Source organism: Homo sapiens, chromosome 14 (assembly GCF_000001405.40).
Source record: "Homo sapiens chromosome 14, GRCh38.p14 Primary Assembly".
NCBI lineage: Eukaryota > Metazoa > Chordata > Mammalia > Primates > Hominidae > Homo > Homo sapiens.
In genome coordinates, this window is record NC_000014.9 from 48390759 (window position 1) to 48414329 (window position 23571).

A 23571-nucleotide genomic window follows, 5' to 3' on the forward strand; every position below is an offset into this window, starting at 1 on the left:
AGGCTTTATACTATCTATTGTGAAAAGGTAGGTTCCTCCTCAATGTTATGACAAATTTTTCAATTTGTCTGAATATATACATGCATTAAAAAATAGAAGCCTAATGCACCAGGAAATAGCCCTTTTCTCACCCTGTAGTCACTTTTACCATGAATTTTCAATGCTGTTTTACCCTTGACTATAAGGCTCACTATCTTGCTGAATGTTTTTCTTCAATTTTTTTTAAAGAAAAGGAAAAATCATTTCAAAGGCCAATTGATTATTTTTTCAAGCATGTTGTGGTTTTCAAGTTAGAGATGGATTGGTTAATTAAAATTTGAGGGGTGGATTTCCTCTTCTCAAGTGCAGGGATAACATGTTACACTTATTAGGAATAAGTAGCATCAAAATCGTTAGATATGGGAAAGGGACTCAGGATATACAGAATCTAAAATCTACATAACCAGGGAATATCCTCATAAACTTGACACAGTTTTTACTCGTTTGAGGACAATTGGGATGGTCATGAATGCCTGGTCCTTTTCCCACTGGACCACACTGTAAAATGGCACTTCTGTACTCCCTTTTATGTATGTCCAGGTGACTATCTTTGGTTGAAGACATGTGGTCAAAGGTGATGTGTTACCTTTTGAGTGGAGTCTGAAGAACCAGGGCGTGGTTTCTTTTACCTACTTCCTTATCAACTGTTGTGGTAATAATGAAAGAATGAGAAGGGGCTTCTGCCAATCCTACGGGTCTAAAATTAGTAACCTCCTGCCAAATGACCTCAAACATATGATGTGGGTGAAAAAAATTGTCTTTTAGCTACTGAGATTTGGGAAATATTCATTACTGCATTGTAACATAAGTATTCTGACTTACATGAAGTAAGGTCAAAACTGAGTGTAAAAGGACAAACAGGAGTTAATTAGAGGAATGAAAGGCGAGGAGTATTCTAGAAAAAGGGGATATCACAAGCAAAGATACAGGAAGATTTAAAAGCCTATGACTGGGATAGAAAGCATGCACAATTAATGACTCGGATTTGGTAAAATCAGCACAGAAATCTGCTCAAGAAGTACATTTTTAGCCATGTACTAGTCTGTTTTTACACTGCTGTAAAGAACTACCCAAGACTGGGTAATTTATAAACAAAAGAGGTTTAATTGACTCACAGTTCCACATGGCTGGGGAAGCCTCAGGAAACTTAGTCATGGCGGGAGGCAGCTCTTCACAGGGTGGGATGAGAGAAGAAACGAGCAAGAGAGGACCTACCAAACACGTATAAAACCACAGATCTTGTAAAAACTCACCCACTGTCACAAAAACAGTATGAGGGGAACTGCCCTCACAATCCAATCACCTCCCACCAGGTCTCTCCCTCAATGCTTGGGAGTTACAATTCAAGATGACATTTGGGTGGGGACACAAATCCTAACCATATTAAGACACATATTAAATACAAGAAACAGGATTGCTGGAGATTTTGAGGGAATAAAGGATGAGGGAATGTTAAGTACATATTTTAAGAAATCAACTTCTCCTTTTCCTAGAGGATATATTCCTTGGAAGCCTTCTCTCTGCTGTCTTCCCTATTTCTTCCCATAGTCTATGGCCACTGCAATCTGTAAGGACTTCTCAAAGCAAGCTTTTGACCTCTTAGAAAACCTGCAGATTTTGGTTTTGGTGTCTTTTATTGCTCACGTGTATTTTACAAAGTGGACAGGAAGATTAAACCAGATATAAACTTACAGATGCTACAAGCTTTAGTGACATGAATGGTCTTTTCCCAATTGCAAAATAATACAAATAAGGTTAAAATGCTTTTTATGTATTATATGTGAATAGTATATATTCTATAGGTAAGTTTTCACAAATTTGAATGTATGGACACATATTTCATCTAATGAAATTTTAGAGTTGTCACCAAAACATTATCTGACAGATCCTTTATGATTGATTTTTATCTATAGCCTATATATTTTCCCCAATAATTCTATAGTATCTCAGTAGTGATTAACTTATGCCTTTAATTGCTGAATCCTGGTCATTAAAAAAGTGCTGATTACTTTAAAATTCACTAAAGTTCTTTGATATTAATCCTCTTCCTGAATAACTTTTATTGATTTATTAGCATTACTCCTATCCAATTATCTTTCATTAGATTTTAAAAAATAATAATTTTCTTGTAATAAAAACTGAATTCAAATAAAATGTGCAAATTAGCTTCCTTACCAATCTTTAAAATAACAGTCAAATTCCATTGACTCTGGTTTTTCTATAGTGTAGAAATAAATAGACTATAAATAATCAGGCTTGCTGAGTATAAATCTAAACTTGTCAGACTTAGCTAGTTAGAAACTGTTTTTTTGTACTTCTGTTAGTCATGAAAGATATGCAGAATTGCTTCTATGTCACTTTTAAGTAGCTGAACATTTCTATGTATGCGTATTCCCTGGGGATATTGAAAATAGAAATTTCAAAAAAATTAAGTACCAGATTGTCTAGGAGCATAAACACAAGGGGTAAAATTTTACCTTTAGCTATGTTAATGCAAATGTGGTCACAGTCATGAATATATTATTTTTATTCTTCTGAATCTGAGATTGCCTATATCAGAAATGGAATTTTAGCTCATTTATCCTGTGGATATAACACATTACATATGTACTAGTGAGAACATCTTTTTTTATTCACTTTTTTTTTTTTCGGGTATTACAAAATGTAACTGGTAGCTCATTCTCTTATAAAGTCTGAGAACTCCCTCCTACTATAAAATGGTTATATCAACAAAAGACTATCACTGCAGTGTAAACCATAGCAGTGCTTGAAGTTACTGGCCCTGGCAGGCTCCTTCTCCAGGGTTATGAGATCAAACAAATTGAATCGATCAGCGAGCTCTGTGAACCACTGGCCACTTCCATGAGACAAACCTATTCCCCAGGAAATTGTTAAGTTGTTTTTCAGTCTTGATCAAATTGAAGAGTTATGTTAGTATTGTATAGAAAACGTTCAAACTTACCAGACCTTAATCAGGACCCTTTTCAAGTGGCCATATTTTCCGTAGATGTGTATGTATGAATGTATATGTGTGTAAACGTCAGGTGGGAGTTTGCAGTACTTAAATATCATGTACTATATAGCATTATTATATTTCCTTACTCGTATCCACTCAAAAGGTAGAAACAATAGACAACTAACCATGATATCAGGCAAGAAAATGTAATGTCTTTAGGTTTCCCTTTAAAATGGAGGCACACCAAGAGAATATGAAACTGTCTTTATTAATGCTTTAGCTCATATTCACATTGCTGATGTGCATATCAAAAGTATTATTTTTCCTGTCATTTATTTTACTTGTTTGCATTGACTCCGTAACATGACTGCAGATGGGCCTGCTGGAATGGTGAGATGGACCATATATAAATGAAAATGATACTTAAGTGTTTTAAAATTTGTCTCTTAAAGTTAAAACTTGTATCTTTTAATCTAAAAGCGATTATAGGAATCATGATTATCAAAGCTCTGGGTTCAAATACATAAAGATAGCAAACATTTACTGAGTAGTTACATGGGCCAGGCACAATCCACGTGCCTTCCTTGAACTATCTCATTTAGTCTTCTCAACAGTCCTGTGAGGTATTCACTGCTACTATCTGCCATTTGCACATGAGAAAAGTAAGTCTTGGAGAAGTTAAGTCATTACTTTTAACTTTGTAACTTGTATTTCTAAACAGATGCTAAAACAATGGAACACTTTCATCAATGTGAGAGTGTCTTGAATTGCAAGAACAGGTGTATGTAATTACCAGTTTTAAATTCAAATTAAGGCTTTATTCTCCCTTTAACACTCACCACACATAAAATTAAACATGGGACATCACAATGTTGTTACTGGTGCATCTCTGGCTGTAACACTCATGAGATGAATATATTGCCATGACCAAAAGGAAAAAAGGTAATGCTGTGGACAGATACAGAAAGAGGACTAACCGCATTTTGAAGGTTTATCACATGACTGTACTTGCAACGTTGGATAACTGAGTGTTTAAGAATTTGAGCTAATAGGTCACTCGATTTATTTACATAACATACTTTTATTCTTTTCAGATATAAATTAGTCCAATCATATTAAATATCATGTGCTGTGTGTAGAGTTGGGTAATGATCTCCATCAAATAATGACTGCAGAGGGTACACTTCACCCCAAGTGCCTTCTGTTCCAGCTGTTTCTACTCATCTTAATTTTCTTAATTGGGTTACAATTAGACTCTGAATGAGACGTTTACAGGGGAATTGGAGCTTTTCAACAAAAGAGTTTACTTCTTTTATTGTTTTGTGGTTCTTAAATTTCAGAGGCCTGTTTCTTGCTACCTGTTAATTAAAAAAAAATACAAAGTGTTTAAGACAAGCTTACGGCATACAAAGAATAACCTATTTACATCTCCACAGATCTAGCACTTTGGCTGCAAGAAAAGCACCATGTGGGAAAAATTCTTCAATTTTTTTTAAGGCTTGATAAAATGTTTATTCAAAATCCATTGTAATATCTCACATTTGTTTCTGGCCTTTTCTCCAGTTCTGACTTCACTGAGAAATTTGAAAGCTGTCAACTCTCCGAGGCTAGAATTAGAATGAGTAAAAGTGAAGTATCTGTCCTGGAACTAAGTCTTTGCTATTCAAAGCATAACCCTTGGATCAGCAACATCTCATCACCTGGGAGCTTGTTAGAAATGCAGACTCTCAGGCTCTGTTTCAACCTTATTCAATCAGAATCTGTACTTTAATAACATCCCCCAGGTAATTTTTATACATATTAAAGTTTGAGATGTCCAGAAAAATCTAATCGTAGCAACAAAACAAAGGCAATTCCAAATTCAAAAAAATCATTTTTAAATTCTGCGTCTCATCATGCATTCTGATTATGTATTAGTAAAAATATGAAATCCCACCTGGGCTTAATGCTAACTAAAATTTTAAATATTATCACTACTTTACATTTTTTAAAAAGAATAAAACATTTTAAAAAGCATTATGTAAGAAAAGCATGGAGTCAGATTTGAGTTGGGAACTGTTATTATGCTGGTTCTTTAGGCTGTTGTTTTCTAAGGGAACTAAATAACTCAATTTTCTTATCCTCTTTGGGTGAGTGGTGCTGTAAGTTTGAAGACTAATGTAAGGCTCTAGAGTCAGAAAGTATTTTATTCCATACCTAATTTTTCCACTATGTTTTGTTATTCATTTTAATAATTATACCCCTCTTATGTACTATGTAAGTTTATTTTACCCAATAAGGTATACTTTACTATTAAAAAAATTTTAATCAATAACATATGATATGGTTCAGGTCTGTGTACATGACCAAATCAAATCAAATGGTAATTCTCAATGTTGGAGGGCAAGCCTGGTGGAAGATGATTGGATTATGGGGGCAGCCTTCTCCCTTGCAGTTCTCATGACAGTGAGTGAGTTCTTACAAGATCTGGTTGTTTGAAAGCGTGTAGCACTTCCCCCTTCATGCTCTCTCTCTCTCCTGCCAGCCATGTGAATATGTACTTGCTTGCCCTTCACCTTCCACCATGATTAAGTTTCCTGAGGTCTTCCCAGAAGCAGAAACCTGTATAGCTTTCAGAACTGTGAGCTGATTAAACCTCTTTTTTCTTTATAAATTACCCAGTCTCAGGTATGTCTTTATAATAGTGTGAGAATGAACTGATACATAAAATTGGTACCAAAAAATGGGACATTGCTATAAAGATACCTGAAATGTGGAAGTAGCTTCGGAAATGTGGAACGGGTAGAAGTTGAAACAGCTTGGAGGGATCAAAAGAAGACAGGTTAGGGTATCTGGTGGAAGAAATTTCTAAGCAGCAAAGGATTCAAGATATGATCTGGCTGTTTCTAAAAGCATATGTTTATATTTGTAAGCAAAGAGATGAACTAAAACTGGAAATTATATTTAAAAGGGAAGCAGAGCATAACAGTTTGGAAAATTTGCAGCCTAGCCATGTGGTAGAAAAGAAAAACCAATTTTCTGGGTAGGAATTCAAGCCAGCTGCAGAAATTTGAATAAGAGGAGCCAAATTTTAATAGCCAAAACAATGGGGAAAATGCCTGGAAGGCATTTCAGAGACCTTCACAGCAGTCACTCCCATCATAGGCTCAGAGGACCAGGAGGGAAGAAGAATGGTTTCATGGGCCAGGCCCAGGGTCCTACTGCCTTGTGCAATCTCAGGTCACTGCTCCCTGTGTCCCAGCTGCTCCAGCTCTAGCTCCAGCTGTGGCTAAAAGGGCCCTGAATACATCTCAGGCCACTGCTTCAGAGGGTACAAGTCACAAACTTTGGAAGCTTTTACGTGATGTTAAGCCTGCAGGTACACAGAGGGCAAGAGGTGAGGCTTAGGAACCTCTGCCTATATTTCAGAGGATGTATGGAAACACCTGGCTGTCCAGGCAGACGTCTGCTGGGGGCAGTGCAGAGGAGAAATGTGGGGTTGGAGCCCCCACACAGAGTCCCCACTGGGGCACTGACTAGAGTGGAGCTGTGAGAAGAGGGCCACCATCTTCCAGACCCCAGAATGGTAGATCCACCAACAGCATGCATCATCCACTTGGAAAAGCCACAGGCACTCAATACCAGCTTGGGAAAGCAACCAAGGGGGCTGGATGTTGCAGAGTCACAGGGGTGGAGATGCCCAAGTCCTTGGGAGGCCATCCCTTGCATCAGTGTGGCCTGGATGTGAGACATGGAGTCAAAGAAGATTATTTTGGAGCTTTAAGATTTGTGAATGCCCTGCTGGGTTTTGTACTTGCATGGGGTCTGTAGCCCCTTTGTTTTGCTGATTTTTCCCTCTTGGAACAGGTATTATTACCCAATGCCTGTACCCCGATTGTATCTTAGAAATAACTAACTTGCTTTTGATTTTACAAGCTCAGAGGCAGAAGGCACTTGCCTTGTCTCAGATGAGATTTTGGACTATGAAATTTTGAGTTAATTCTGGAATGAGTTAAGACTTTGGGGGACTATTGGAAGGCATGATTGTGTTTTGAAATGTGAGAAGGACATGTGATTTGCGAGAAGTCAGGGGCAGAATGATATGGTTTGTGTCTGTGCCCCCACTCAAATATCTTGTTGAATTGTAATTCTCAACTTTGGAGGAGGGTCCTGGTGGGAGGTGATCGGATTATGGGGGCTGAATTCCCCCTTGCTGTTCTTACGATAGTGAGTGAGTTCTCATGAGTTCTGGTTGTTTGAAAGTGTGTAGCACTTCCCGCCTTCACTCTCTCTCCTGTGGGCCATGTGAAGATGTGCTACCTTCCCCTTCACCATCCACTGTGATTGTAAGTTTCCTGAGGCCTTCCCAGAAGCAGAAGCCTGTACAGCCCAAGGAATAGTGAGCCGATTAAACCTCTTTTCTTTATAAATTACCCAGTCTCAGGCATGTTTTTATAGCAGTGTGAGAACAGAATAATACAACATATTGTCAAAAATCTTGTTCCAAAGTAACAGACTCTTGAGGAACATTGTGTAGATATTCACGTATCATCTGTTGCCAACCACTGTTGTCAAAATTACTTAGCTGGGATTTTTGCTGCTGTCTTATGAGAAACAGGACACACTTGCTAAGCATCCGCACCTGTTAATAGCCACTTTGTTATCTCTCTTCACCTGTCTCTTTGTAGTCATGAGAATTGAAAACGTTATCTATAAATTGTATCTGCATTCCAATTATTAGACTAACAAGTTCCTGGCTGAGGAGGGGTTTTATAAGTACTGTACCTGGTTTGATAGCCAGGAATGATACTATTTGGAGCAAGTCATTGTACAATTAGCCCAGGTTTAATGATCACATCTGCTGTAAATTACCATGAACTTCATTTTATCCACATTGTAATCAACATTCAGAAAGGCTGTCCCTGTCCTTTCTTTTCTCCTACTTCACAGTCAACACTGAGTACCACCTCTTTAAAGGGCTCATGGATGCAGGATCTGGGCTTTTTTCTGCTTTCATAATTGCAATAGTACCTGCCTGTTCATCCTGACATGTGGCTGTATCCTGTGATAACAAAGGGATTGCCATCTTTTTTATTTGGCTCACCCATAATACATGTGGATTAAGGCATTAAATACGGGCTCCATCTAGTGGTAGCCAACTGCATTCTTTCTTGTTTTTACATAGGCTCTTTGGGATTTTCTGTGTTCCTGATCAAACCAATCTCTTTCTGTGTACTCATAAGATATTTTTCCATTGGATCTCTGTTGCTTACTGTACTGTTTACTTCCTGAGCACCATTTTTTGGGGGAGTGGGGATCTCCCTTGTGTTTGCAGCTCATTCTATCAGAGAACATGGCAGCCTTCCTGGTCTTTGCTCCTTCGCTAGATCTATTCTTTTATAGATTACAGCAAATTGGACACCTAGCAATTTGAAGTCTTTTTCTAGAATGCCCTCTCCCTGATAGTCCTTCTACTTCTCACTGTGGGCCCTGTTTGTATGCTGACAGGAAAACTACCTTCCTAGATGGAGTATTTCTACTCACTGATGGATGGATCTTTTGTATACTAAGAACTATATTGCCATAGTTGCTTTTTGGTCCCAGCATTAGTCCACAGTACAGTCTTTATATCATTTTTTGTTAATGGAGAGCAAGAAATCCTAAATAACACAGATACACAAATGTCTTCATTGCTACTATGATGTGTTACTACTACCTTAAAATAATTTTGGAAAACATGGCAAAAAACATAAGATTTATTATATCCAGGTGGTAAGTATATAGTGTTTGTCATACTCTCTTTACTTTTCTGAAGGTTTGATTTCACAATAATAGTTTTTAAATATAATTGTTTTGTTCTAATAATTTTATGAATTAAAGAAGGGAAATATGCAAAACGTTTCATATGATTTGGCTCTGTGTCCCCATCCAAATTTCACCTTGAATTGTAATAATCTCCGTACGTCATGGGAGGTGATTGAATCATGGGGTTGGGTTTCTCCTGTGCTGTTCTCATGATAGTGAATAAGTATCATGAGATCTGATGGTTTTATAAAGAGGAGTTCCTCTGCACATGACCTCTTGCCTGCTGCCACGTAAGACATGACTTTGCTCCTAATCTGCCTTCCGTCATGATTATGAGGCCTCCCCAGCCATGCTGAATTGTGAGTCAATTAAACCTCCTTATAAATTACCCAGTCTCAAATATGTCTTTATTAGCAGTGTGAAAACAGACTAATACACCTCTGTGAACAACTTTGTCAAGCTTTTATAACTTGTTATTGCTGACATAGGCTGAGCAAAAATGCCACGAAAATTTGAGATTTGTGCCAAGCAAAGCTGTCCTTGTGGTTTTGTCTGTTTGAATGCACTTCTCTCCCAAACTCCACAAATCTTGGTTACTTACTGACTTTAGAGGTCAAATATGACCTTCTCAGTGATGCCTTTCCTGCCCAATAACTAATAATCCCCTCTCCAATTATCCCTACCTTCTTCTGAATTTCACCTTTTGCACAAAAATTATCACCATTTTCATTTATGTATTCATTTTTAAATTGAATGTCTCCTAACATTTGAGTGTAAGTTCCATGAAAGCACTGTATATCTGGTACCTAGAATACTGTCTAACACATAGTTAGCACTAAATACATTACATTAAGTTAATATCAGATAATATGCCATTTCTCCCTTAGGATGTCCTGGTGTATGAGAGTTGGGGATAATATTTATTGACAATCCCATTAGTACCTTGAATATTCTATTTCTTGATATCTTTCTCCTCTGATACTCTGCCACTTCTTGATATCTATATTCAGACAGATGAACCTGCGGATGGAACAAATTACGCAGAATGTCTATTAAGACTTACTACCAACAGGAGTAGAAATTGTGAATTACCATAGTGAGCCAGAATAATCTAACTCTAGATATAATATACATAATGTCAATAGAGGGGATTTTATTCTTAGAGTTCTTGAATTCCTATAGCTATTCTATTGTGAGTTAGCTGAAATAAATGAGGATTCTTTCTTCAAGTTCTACTCAACACTCAGGAAAAGGGTAAAAAAAAAGTGATCTTCTTTATTTTCCTCAGCGATAAGAATTAATAACAGAAACTGGAAAGGAAAAGAACTGGTAAGCACTCAGAAAAGTTTCAAAGGCGGTATTAAACTGAACTTCAGATTCCAGCTTGAGAGGGCATAAACCAGAGAAGGAGGAAAAGCATTGTGATAAATATCTCATTTACAATTCCGCATTTCTGATTCCTTTTGTTTTTTTACTTGAATGCATCTTTTCAGTAGGGATTTTAGGAAGATTTCATCTAAATGAGTGCTCAGGAAGCCCTCTCTGCTCTCCACTGAGATGCCTTCAATTAAAAGTGATACTTCACACCAGTTATTCCAACTGCTGCTAAAATGTCAAAATGAGAAGCATGTTGGATTGTACCATGACCCAGAGCAAATGTAAATAACCACAGCACTGCAATAGCATCGTGTAGTAATATACCTTTCTTAAAATAAGGAGGATGTTTTAATTCAACTAACAAGCAAAAGTGGAAAAGTGAATTACAACTTTTCACATTATCAGCTACATTTTCCCCAGTCTTAGAGTAAAAACATATTTTTTCTTTTCAGTTTCTGTGCAAGGAACGCTGTGGATTCATAAAACCTGCCAAAGTAAGTGCATTGCTTTTTCTCTGAAGCAGAGATCAAGAACAAATAAGGCCTCCAGTTTTCAAAGGCAAGGAACAAATGACTTTATGCTGGATGTACATGGTGTTATTTGGAATAGGCAATGGAAAATGAAGTGAGACCAGGGACACAGTCTGGAAAGGCATTTTCTCTTCTTGGCTTAAATAATTGCTATAGAGACTGTTTACTATTGGTAAATACATTTTTTCTTTGATACTGTTTTTGTCTGTAGCTTGTCTTTTTTTCTTTTCAATAAGATTAAGAATCTAAGTAAGCTAAGAGCTGTAATATGTACAGATTCCGCCCCACAGGATTCATCTATTTATTAAGTGTCTATGTACACACTATACTCTCTTAGACTGTAAGCTCCACACAGCCAAAGTTGAATGCACTTGTAAACTGAGATTGCCACAATTGTTTTAACCCCTATAAAAAATCCTTACATTTTTACAGTAACTCATAATCTATGATTACTAAATCACTCCTGGATTTATGATATTACCCCATTTTGACATGAATACACTTAGGGGAGTTCCAAAAGGCAAAACTTTTACTGGGCATTTACAAATTTATCATAAATTAAATGATTATTCTTCTCCTCCTCCTCCTACTCCTCCTCTTCTGTGACTGCCTGACATTGCTTCACTAAAACTTTAATAATTTAACTTTAAAATAAATATCACTTACTTAAAAGCAGGCAAATAGTTTATAGATATTTTATAATCATGGCTATTAAAATATTTTAAAATAATTATTTATTTTAGTTTATTTTCTATGGTGTCCAAAGGACTTATTTTTATCAATCCCTACCATTTTTCCATAAAAGCATAATTAACCTTCAAGGATGCATGTTAGCACCTGAAAGCCTCAATAATATTTGTAAAAATGAATGCAAATTTTCTATTTAGGATTATATTAAATAAAAAAGAACATTCTGACTTCCCTGCCAATTATCAAAAGTTACTTCAGTAAAAAAGAAATGCATATGTATGATTTATTGTACTATAAATACACACAACATGCACATGTACAGACACATACATTATGTTTTTAATATTATGCTTTCAAATTGGGACAGCCAAGGAACAAAAGGAAGGACACCAATGAAGACTATTTGCTTTTTTGAACTCCTCTGTGTTTTAAAAATTACAATTGTGAATCTCCTTTTAAAAATCTTTATTATACATTGACATTAAAGCTGACTTATCATTTTATTTAGTAGACAGACATCCCTAGCTTCCAGGCTTCATGACACAGAAGAGGTTTCAACATGTTTTTTCCAGTTTCCACTTTTGTCTTGTCCCATCTCAATTTTCTGATCCCTTATTGAGATTGCTTGAATAGAAATACTCGTATTTTTTCCTTGTGAAACAACATTGTCATATCCTATTTTCTGAGATAATACTGCTATATTTTCAAAGTTATATTCAACCTATGATTCCCTTATCTCTCCAAATTCACTATGTTTGAGGAGAGTTAAATCTTCTTTTGCCTTTAAAATTAACCTCCAAGAACATTCAGGCACAGGAAATTCAGCAATGACAACTCAGTTTCTGTTAATAAATAACTAGTTTTTACTCCTTCTATAAATGAACATCTTAGTTTTAGTTTAGTTAGATTTAACAGTCTAAATAAAAGAATGTTTTTTCTATTTCTTACCTTCATTAGATCATATTTTTTATTAGGCCTGGATGCTGAATACTAAATCCATTCAATAAGGACAAGATTGATTTATCATATTCATTTGAAGGTGGTGGTATCTAATGAGTATACAAGAAGATGTTTTGCCTTTACAATAAATTGATGAAATTTCATTATACTCAGTATAATCTTTAGGTACTCAAAGCAAACTTGCTGGCACTGGTGGGAAAGATCAGATGTTAGAAACCATAACTTGAGGACCAAAAGACAACAGTATCCTTATTACCTAATCAGAAGATAAGAAAGGCAATCTTTCAAGTAGGTGCCAAGCCCATGAGATTTTATCATGAAAAACAAATAAAGCAAAGCAACAATCTAGTATTTTTCATTTTTAACCATACATAAACTAAAAGGGTGTAAGTCACAGCACAAATATCTAAGGTCTGTAATACTCTGACAAAAGAATGGTATAAATTTTAACGGATTATTCAATATTTTGTTGAATTCTAGCTGTATGTGGATTTGATGACTTCTCAAACTCTTTATAGCTCCTCAAATTGCTGAGTCTATCAACGTATAACCTTTCACTGTTTGAAGTAGTTGTGACAACAAAACATCCCCCCATCATGCACAATATAAACAGCCTTCAAGAAACTTGATGAAGCTAGGAATGTTTTATCTAGTTTCATTTTAGAAATAGAGGGAAAAATATCTGAGATTTTGCAGATATTTCTCTTTTTTTCTGTTTAAAAGTAATTTCATTTTTAAAATAAAAACTGTCATTAGCTAACTTTTTACATCTCAAAGATTTTGTGTGGCTTTGAACAGTGTACAATATGTTCTCTTTCCTTGAGGTTGTCTGATATAAGTGAATTTGTGGTGGTATAAATATATTAAAGAGAACCAATGTTTCTCTCTTTAAAAATTGCTAACATCAACACTTTCCCATAAGGAGAGAACAAATAAAAGAGAAAGTTTATCTTTATGGTACATGCAAATTATTCTCTTTACACAAATAAAGGCACACCAAGAGAGAGTGAGGGCTACATACTTTGAAATGATGAGATCTCATGAGAACTCACTACCGTGAGGACAGTACCGAGAAGGATGGTGCCAAATCATTCATGAGGGATCCATCCCCATGATCCAACCACCTCCCACCAGGTCCCACCTCCAACAACTGGGTGTATTTGTTCTCACGCTGCTACTAAAGACATACTCAAGACTGGGAAATTACTACTACTTGTCATAGTAGCCTTATGTAACAAAAAAATATAATTCAAAAACAGTTGATAACAATAATTGGTAAATCTGAAGTGACTGATGCATGTATATATATGTATATATGTAGAAATAGAAAAACTCAGTGTATATTTGAAAGGTAAGAAAATGCCTTCAAGATGAACTAATTTATCACTATTCTCAATTTTTAAATTGATACATCATAATCGTATATATTTATGGGATATATGTGATATTTTGGTATATAAATACAATGTGCTATGATTAAGTCAGGGTAATTGGGATATCCATCAATTAAAGCATTATTCCTGTGTGGTGAGAACATTCCAACTCTTCTCTTTTAGCTATCTTGAAATATACAATAAATTATTGATAACTATAGACACCATACTGTGCTGTCAAACACTAGAGAGTATTTCTTCTAACTGTATTCTTTTTAACCCATTAACTAACCTCTCTTCATCTCTTCGTCTCCCCTCCCCCTACCTTTCCCAGCCTCTGGTAACCACCTTTCTACTCTATCTCCTTGAGGTCAACTTTTTTAGCTCTTACATATGAAAGAGTACGTGTAACATTTTTGTTTCTGTGCCTGGCTTATGTCATTTCACAGAATGTTCTCTAGGCTCTTCCATGTTGCTGAAAATGATAGGATTTCATTCTTTTTTATGACTGGATAATATTGTCTGTATATTTACTAATTTTTCTTTATCAATGGATCCATTGATGGACACTTAGGTTTAAACTATATTGTGGTGTAAACAGTGCTGCAATAAACATGGGAGTGTAGATATCTTTTCAATATACTGATTTTCTTTCTTTAGATATATACCCAGCAGTTGGATTGCTGGATCATATGATAGTTCTACTTTTAGTTTTTTGAGTAACATCCATACTATTCTCCATAGTGGCTGTACTAATTTGCATGCAATATAGGACAGTTCTCCTTTTCCCATATCCCCTCCAACATATATTATTGCTCGTCTTTTGGATAAAAGCCATCTTAACTACAGTGAGATGATATCTCATATGGTCATGTTTTAATTTGCATTGCTCGAATGATGGATGAGGTTTAGCTTTTTGTTTCCCCACATACCCATTGGCCATTTGTGTATCTTGTTTTAAGTAATGTCTAATCAGATCTTTTGTCCAGTTTTTAGTCAATTTTTCCCTATTGAGTTGTTTGTGCTCTTTACATATTGTGGTTATTAATCCCTTGCCAGATGAGTAGTTTGCAAATATTTTCTCCAATTTTGTGAGTTGTCTCTTCACTTTGTTGATTGTTTCCTTTGCTGTGCAGTAGCTTTTTAGCTTAATGTGATTCTACTTGTCAACTTTTATTTTGGTTGCCTGTGCTTTTGAGGTCTTACCCAAAATATCTTTGTCCAGACCAATGTCCTGAAGCATTTCCCTAATAATGTTTTCTTCTAATAGCTACAGAGTTTCAGGTCTTACATGTAAGTCTTTTCATTTTTATTTGCTTTTTCCAATATGGTGATACAAGGATCTAGTTTCTTTCTTATACATGTGATATCTGGTTTTTCCAGCACCATTTACTGCAGAGATTGTCCTTTCCCAAATATATATTCTTGAAACCTTTGTTGAAATGAGTAGGCTGTAAATATGTGGATTTATTTCTGGGTTCTCTATTGTATTCATTCATTCTTACACTACTAGAAAGAACTGCATGAGACTGGGCAATTTATAAAAGAAAGAGGTTTAATTAACTCGCAGTTTTGCATGGCTGGGGAGGCCTGAGGAAACATAGAAGCATAGTGTAAGGGGACTCAAACATGTCCTTCCTCACATGGTGGCAGGAAGGGGAAGTGCTGAACAAAGGGGAAAAGATTGTTATAGAACCATCATATCTTTTGAGAACTCACTATCATAAGAACAGCATAAAGGTAACTGCCCCCATAATTCAATTACCTCCCACCAGATCCCTCCCACAACCCATGGGGATTATAGAAACTACAATTTAAGATGAGATTTGGGTGGGGATACAGCCAACCTATATCATTTTTCCCCTGGCCCCTCTCATATCTCATGTCCTCACATTTCAAAACACAATCATGCCTTCCCAACAGTCCCTCAATATCTTAACTCATTCCAGCATTAACTCAAAAGTCTAATTCCAAAGTCTCGTCTCAGACAAGGCAAGTCCCTTTCACCTCTAAGCCTGTAAAAATCAAAATAAAGTTAGCTACTTCCTAGAAACAATATACGTACAGGCACTGGGTAAATACACTCATTCCAAATGGGAGAAATTGGCTAAATTAAAGGGTCTATGGGCCTCATGCAAGTCCGAAATCCAATAGGGCATTCATAAACCTTAAAGTTCCAAAATGATCTCCTTTGACTCCATGTCTCACATCCAGGACATGCTGATGCAAGAGGTGGGTTCTCATGGCCTTGGGCAGTTCTTGCCATGTGGCTTTGCAGGGTACAGCCCCACTCCTGGCTGTTTTCATGGGCCAGTGTTGAATGTCTGAAGCTTTGCCAAGCACATGGTGCAAGCTGTTGGTGGATCTATTATTTGAGAGTCTGGAGGCTGGTGTCCCTCTTCTCACAGCTTCAGCAGGGAGTGCCCCAGTAGGGACTCATGTGTGAGGGCTCTGACCCCACATTTCCTTTCCACACTGCCCAAGCAAGAGGTTCTCCATGAGGACACTTCCCCTGCAGCAAACTTCTGCCTGGACAATCAGGCGTTCCTATACATCCTCTGAAATCTAGGTGGAGGTTCCCAAACCTCAGTTCTTGACTTCTGTGCACCCACAGGCCCAACATCATGTGTAAGCCACCAAGGCTTGGGGCTTGCACTCTCTGAAGCAACGGCCTAAGCTGTGTGTTTGCCCCTCTTAGCTGTGGCTGGAGTTGAAGCAGCTGGGATGCAGGGTACCACATCCCAAGACTCCATAGAGAAGGGGGACTCTAGGCCTGGCTCACAAAACCATATTTCCCTCCTAGGCCATCAGGCCTGTGATGAGAGAAGCTGCTGCAAGGTTCTCTGACATGCCCTGGAGACATTTTCCTCTTTGTCTTAGTGATTAGTTCAGCTCCTTGTTACTTATGCAAGTTTATACAGCTAGCTTGAATTTCTCTCCAGAAAATGGGTTTTTCTTTTCATGCCCAGGTTGCAAATTTTCCAAACTTTTATGCTCTGCTTCCTCTTGTATGCTTTGCTGCTCAGGAATTTCTTCTGCCAGATACCCTAAATCATCTCTCTCAAGTTCAAAGTTCCACAGATCTCTAGGGAAAAGGTGAAATGCCACCAGTTTCTTTGTATAGCAAGAGTGACCTTACTCCATTTTCCAACAAGTTCCTCATCTCCATCTGATATCACTTCAGCCTGGACCTCATTGTCCATATCACTATCAGCATTTTGGTCAAAACAATTCAACAAGTCTCTAAGAAGTTCCAAACTTTCCCACACCTTCCTGTTTTCTGAGACCTCTGAGTCTCTAGAAAGTTCCAAACGTTTCCACATTTTCCTGTCTTTTTCTGAGCCCTCTAAACAGTTCTCTGCCTGTTATGCAGTTGCAAAGTTGCTTCCACATTTTTGGGTATCTTTACAGCAGATCCCCACTCCCAGTACCAATTTACTGTATTATTCTGTTCTCATGCTGTTACAGAGAACTGCCTAAGACTGGGTAATTTATAAAGAAAGGAAGTTTAATTAAATCACAGTTCTATATGACTGGGGAGGCCTCAGGAAACTTACAATCATGGAGTAAGGGGAAGGAGACACATTCTTTTTCACATGACACCAGGAGAGAGAAGTGCCGAGAAAGGGGGAAAAGCCACTTATAAAACCATCAGATTGGCCAGGCATGGTGGTTCATGCTTGTAATCCCAGTACTTTGGGAGGCTGAGAAGGGTGGATCACCTGAGCTCAGGAGTTCGAGACCAGCCTGGCCAACATGCTGAAACCCTGTCTCTACTAAAAATACAAAAATTAGCTGGTCATGTTGGTGGGCACCTCCAATCCCAGCTACTCAGGAGGCTGAGGCAGAAGAATTTCTCGAACCCAGGATGCGATGTTGCAGTGAGCCAACATCATGCCACTGCCCTCCAGCCTGGGCAACAAGAGAGAAAATTAGTCTCAAAAAATAAAAATAAATCATGAGATCTTGTGAGGACTCACTTACTATCATGAGAACAGCATGAGGGTAACCACTCCCATGATTCAATTACCTCCCACCAGGTCTCTCCCACAAAATGTGTGAAATATGGGAACTACAATTCAAGATGAGATTTGGGTGGGACACAGCGAAACCATATCATCTGTTTTGTTCCACTGGTCTATGTATCTGTGTTTATGCCAGTACCATGCTTTTTTGGTTGGTATAACTTGGTAGTACATTTTGAAGCCAGGTAGTTATTTCAACTTTGTTCTTCTCACTGAGGATTGGGGTCTTTTGTGGTTCTATACCAATTTTAGGATTGTGTTTTCCATTTCTGTGAAAAATATAACTGATATTTTATAAAGATTGCATTAAATCTGTAGATTGCTTTAGGTAGCATAGATATGTTAACAATATTGATTCTTCCAAACAATAAACATGGATTACCATTTGATTTTTTGGTGTCCTCTTTAATTTATTTTTATCAGTGTTTTATAATTTTTAATGAAGAGAAATCTGCTGTTAGTCTATGGCGATTCTCCTATATGTGACATGTTGCTTTTCTCTTGATCTTTTTAGAATTCCTTCTCTTAGATTTTTACCATTTGATAAAAATGTGCCTCAGAGAGAAACTTTTTGAGAAAAATCTACTGGGGAATTTTTGAACTTCTTATATTGAATATCTATATCTCTTCTAAGAGTTGGGAAGCTTTTAGTTGTTTTATTAAATAGGTTTTCTATACCTTTTTCTTTCTCTTCTTCTGGAAATCCAATTAGGTGCTGGCTTGATGATGTCACATATATCATGTAGGCTTTCTTCATTCTTTTTTTTTGTCTGAGTTATTTCAGAATACTTGTCTAAGCTCAGAATTTCTTTCTTCTGATTGATCTATTATTGAAGCTCTTGATTATGTTTATTGTATTTTATTCAATGAAACCTTCAGTTTCAAGATTATTTAAATCTTGAATATCAACTCTATCTTTTTGTTATCTATCTCTTTGTTAAATTTTCATTCAGATAATTTTTTTTCTGATTTCTTTCATTGCTTAATGGTTTTATTATTATACTTTAAGTTTTAGGGTACATGTGCACAATGTGCAGGTTTGTTACATATTATACATGTGCCATGTTGGTGTGCTGCACCCATTAACTCGTCATTTAGCATTAGGTATATCTCCTAATGCTATCCCTCCCACCTCCCCCCACCCCACAAAAGGCCCCGGAGTGTGATGTTCCCCTTCCTGTGCCCATTTGTTCTCATTGTTCAATTCCCACCTATGAGTGAGAACATGCAGTTTGGTTTTTTTGTCCTTGCGATAGTTTGCTGAGAATGATGGTTTCCAGCTTCATCCATGTCCCTACAAAGGACATGAACTCTTCATTTTTTATGCCTGCATAGTATTCCATGGTGTATATGTGCCACATTTTCTTCATCCAGTCTATCATTGTTGGACATTTGGCTTGATTCCAAGTCTTTGCTATTGTGAATAGTGCCGCAATAAACATACGTGTGCATGCGTCTTTATAGCAGCATGATTTATAATCCTTTGGGTATATACTCAGTAATGGGATGGCTGGGTCAAATGGTATTTCTAGTTCTAGATCCCCGAGGAATCGCCACACTGACTTCCACAAGGTTGAACTAGTTTACAGTCCCACCAACAGTGTAAAAGTGTTTCTATTTCTCCACATCCTCTCCAGCACCTGTTGTTTCCTGACATTTTAATGATTGCCATTCTAACTGGTATGAGATGGTATCTCACTGTGGTTTTGATTTGCGTTTCTCTGATGGCCAGTGATGCTGAGCATTTTTTCATGTGTTTTTTGGCTGCATCAATGTTTTTTTTTGAGAAGTGTCTGTTCATATCCTTTGCCCACATTTTGATGAGGTTTTTTTTCTTGTAAATTTGTTTGAGTTCATTGTAGATTCTGGATATTAGCCCTTTGTCAGATGAGTAGGTTGCAAAAATTTTCTCCCATTTGTTAGGTTGCCTGTTCACTCTGATGGTAGTTTCTTTTGCTGTGCAGGAGCTCTTTAGTTTAATTAGATCCCATTTGTCAATTTTGGCTTTTGTTGCCATTGCTTTTGGTGTTTTAGACATGAAGTCCTTCCCCATGCATATGTCCTGAATGGTATTGCCTAGGTTTTCTTCTAGGTTTTTTATGGTTTTAGGTCCAACATACAAGTCTTTAATCCATCTTGAATTAACTTTTGTATAAGGTGTAAGGAAGGGCTCCAGTTTCAGCTTTCTACATATGGCTAGCCAGTTTTCCCAGCACCATTTATTAAATAGGGAATCCTTTCCACATTTCTTGTTTTTGTCAGGTTTCTCAAAGATCAGACGGTTACAGATATGCGGCATTATTTCTGAGGGCTCTGTTCTGTTCCACTGATCTATGTCTCTGTTTTGGTACCAGTACTATGCTGTTTTGGTTACTGTAGCCTTGCAGTATAGTTTGAAGTCAGGTAGCGTGATGCCTCCAGCTTTGTTCTTTTGGCTTAGGATTGACTTAGTGATGCGGGCTCTTTTTTGGTTCCATATGAACTTTAAAGTAGTTGTTTCCAATTCTGTGAAGAAAGTCATTGGTAGCTTGATGGGGATGACATTGAATCTATACATTACCTTGGGCAGTATGGCCATTTTCACAATATTTATTCTTCCTACCCATGAGCATGGAATGTTCTTCCATTTGTTTGTATCCTCTTTTATTTCATTGAGCAGTGGTTTGTAGTTCTCCTTGAAGAGGTCCTTCACATCCCTTGTAAGTTGGATTCCTAGGTATTCTATTCTCTTTGAAGCAATTGTGAATGGGAGTTCACTCATGATTTGGCTCTCTGTTTGTCTGTTATTGGTGTATAAGAATGCTTGTGATTTTTGTACATTGATTTTGTATCCTGAGAATTGCTGAAGTTGCTCATCAGCTTAATGAGATTTTCTGCTGAGATGATGGGGTTTTCTAGATATACAATCATGTCATCTGCAAACAGGGACAATTTGACTTCCTCTTTTCCTAATTGAATACCCTTTATTTCCTTCTCCTGCCTGATTGCCCTGGCCAGAACTTCCAACACTATGTTGAATAGGAGTGGTGAGAGAGGGCATCCCTGTCTTGTGCCAGTCTTCAAAGGGAATGCTTCCAGATTTTGCCCATTCAGTATGATATTGGCTGTGGGTTTGTCGTAGATACCTCTTATTATTTTGAAATACGTCCCATCAATACCTAATTTATTGAGAGTTTTTAGCATGAAGGGTTGTTGAATTTTGTCAAAGGCCTTTTCTGCATCTATTGAGATAATCATGTGGTTTTTGTCTTTGGTTCTGTATATATGCTGGATTACATTTATTGATTTGTATATGTTGAACCAGGCTTGCATCCCAAGGATGAAGCCCACTTGATCATGGTGGATAAGCTTTTTGATGTGCTGCTGGATTCGGTTTGCCAGTATTTTATTGAGGATTTTTGCCTCAATGTTCATCAAGGATATTGGTCTAAAATTCTCTTTTTTGGTTGTGTCTCTGCCAGACTTTGGTATCAGGATGACGCTGGCCTCATAAAATGAGTTAGGGAGGATTCCCTCTTTTTCTATTGATTGGAATAGTTTCAGAAGGAATGGTACCGGCTCCTCCTTGTACCTCTGGTAGAATTTGGCTGTGAATCCATCTGGTCCTGGACTTTTTTGGTTGGTAAGCTATTAATTATTGCCTCAATTTCAGAGCCTGTTATTGGTCTATTCAGAGATTCAACTTCTTCCTGCTTTAGTCTTGGGAGGGTGTATGTGTCGAGGAATTTATCCATTTCTTCTGGATTTTCTAGTTTATTTGCATAGAGGTGTTTGTAGTATTCTCTGATGGTAGTTTGTATTTCTGTGGGATCAGAGGTGATATCCCCTTTATCATTTTTTATTGTGTCTATTTGATCCTTCTTTCTTTTCTTCTTTTTCTTATTATTATTATACTTTAAGTTTTAGGGTGCATGTGCACAATGTGCAGGTTAGTTATATATGTATACACGTGCCATGCTGGTGCGCTGCACCCACTAACTCGTCATCTTGCATTAAGTATATCTCTCAGTGCCCTCCCTCCCCCCTCCCCCAACCCCACGACAGTCCCCAGAGTGTGATGTTCCCCTTCCTGGGTCCATGTGTTCTCATTGTTCAATTCCCACGTATGAGTGAGAATAGGCAGTGTCTGGTTTTTTGTTCTTGCGATAGTTTACTGAGAATGATGATTTCCAATTTCATCCATGTCCCTACAAAGGACATGAACTCATGATTTTTTATGGCTGCATAGTATTCCATGGTGTATATGTGCCACATTTTCTTAATCCAGTCTATCATTGTTGGACATTTGGGTTGGTTCGTAGTCTTTGCTATTGTGAATAGTGCTGCAATAAACATACGTGTGCATGCGTCTTTATAGCAGCATGATTTATAGTCCTTTGGGTAGATACCCAGTAACGGGATGGCTGGTTCAAATGGTATTTCTAGTTCTAGATCCCTGAGGAATTGCCACACTGCCTTACACAATGGTTGAACTAGTTTACAGTCACACCAACAGTGTAAAAGTGTTCCTATTTCTCCACATCCTCTCCAGCACCTGTTGTTTCCTGACTTTTTAATGATCACCATTCTAACTGGTGTGAGATGGTATCTCACTGTGTTTTCATTTGCATTTCTCTGATGGCCAGTGATGGTGAGCATTTTTTCATGTGTTTTTTGGCTGCATAAATGTCTTCTTTTGAGAAGTGTCTGTTCATGTCCTTCGCCCACTTTTTGATGGGGTTGTTTGTTTTTTTCTTGTAAATTTGTTTGAGTTCATTGTAGATTCTGGATATTAGCCCTTTCTCAGAAATGTTCTCCCATTTTGTAGGTTGCCTGTTCACTCTGATGGTAGTTTCTTTTGCTGTGCAGGAGCTCTTTAGTTTAATTAGATCCCATTTGTCAATTTTGTCTTTTGTTGCCATTGCTTTTGGTGTTTTAGACATGAAGTCCTTGCCCATGCCTATGTCCTGAATGGTAATGCCTAGGTTTTCTTCTAGGGTTTTTATGGTTTTAGGTCTAACATTTGAAATTGTGGCAATAATCAATAGCTTACCAACCAAAAAGAGTCCAGGACCAGATGGATTCACAGCTGAATTCTACCAGAGGTACAAGGAGGAACTGCTACCATTCCTTCTGAAACTATTCCAATCAATAGAAAAAAGAGGGAATCCTCCTTAACTCATTTTTTGAGGCCAGCATCATCCTGAAACGAAAGCCGGGCAGAGACACAACCCAAAAAGAGAATTTTAGACCAATATCCTTGATGAACATTGAGGCAAAAATCCTCAATAAAATACTGGCAAACCGAATCCAGCAGCACATCAAAAAGCTTATCCACCATGATCATGTGGGCTTCATCCCTGGGATGCAAGGCTGGTTCAATATATGCAAATCAATAAATGTAATCCAGCATATAAACAGAACCAAAGACAAAAACAACATGATTATCTCAATAGATGCAGAAAAGTCCTTTGACAAAATTCAACAACCCTTCATGCTAAAAACTCTCAATAAATTAGGTACTGATGGGATGTATTTCAAAATAATAAGAGGTATCTATGACAAACCCACAGCCAATATCATACTGAATGGGCAAAATCTGGAAGCATTCCCTTTGAAAACTTGCACAAGACAAGGATGCCCTCTCTCACCACTCCTATTCAACATAGTGTTGGAAGTTCTGGCCAGGGCAATTAGGCAGGAGAAGGAAATAAAGGGTATTCAATTAGGAAAAGAGGAAGTCAAATTGTCCCTGTTTGCAGATGACATGATTGTATATCTAGAAAACCCCATTGTCTCAGCCCAAAATCTCCTTAAGCTGATAAGCAACTTCAGCAAAGTCTCAGGATACATAATCA

The 23571-nt window shown here is 37.4% G+C and overlaps 1 long non-coding RNA gene and 1 pseudogene across 1 annotated transcript in view; one reads left to right on the forward strand and one right to left on the reverse strand.

Moving 5' to 3' along the window:
* Positions 1 to 3240: 3240 nt before the first annotated feature.
* Positions 3241 to 23571, reverse strand: part of LOC105378178 (uncharacterized) — an 894025-nt gene continuing 873694 nt past the window's right edge. The window contains exons 8-10 of the long non-coding RNA XR_007064152.1: positions 9722 to 9799; positions 5741 to 5792; positions 3241 to 4353 (exon numbers count right to left, since the gene is read on the reverse strand). This is a non-coding gene — a long non-coding RNA (uncharacterized LOC105378178). The remainder of the gene's footprint in view (positions 4354 to 5740; positions 5793 to 9721; positions 9800 to 23571) is intronic.
* On the forward strand, positions 7551 to 8617 carry LOC100422641 (STT3A, subunit of the oligosaccharyltransferase complex (catalytic) pseudogene; annotated as a pseudogene).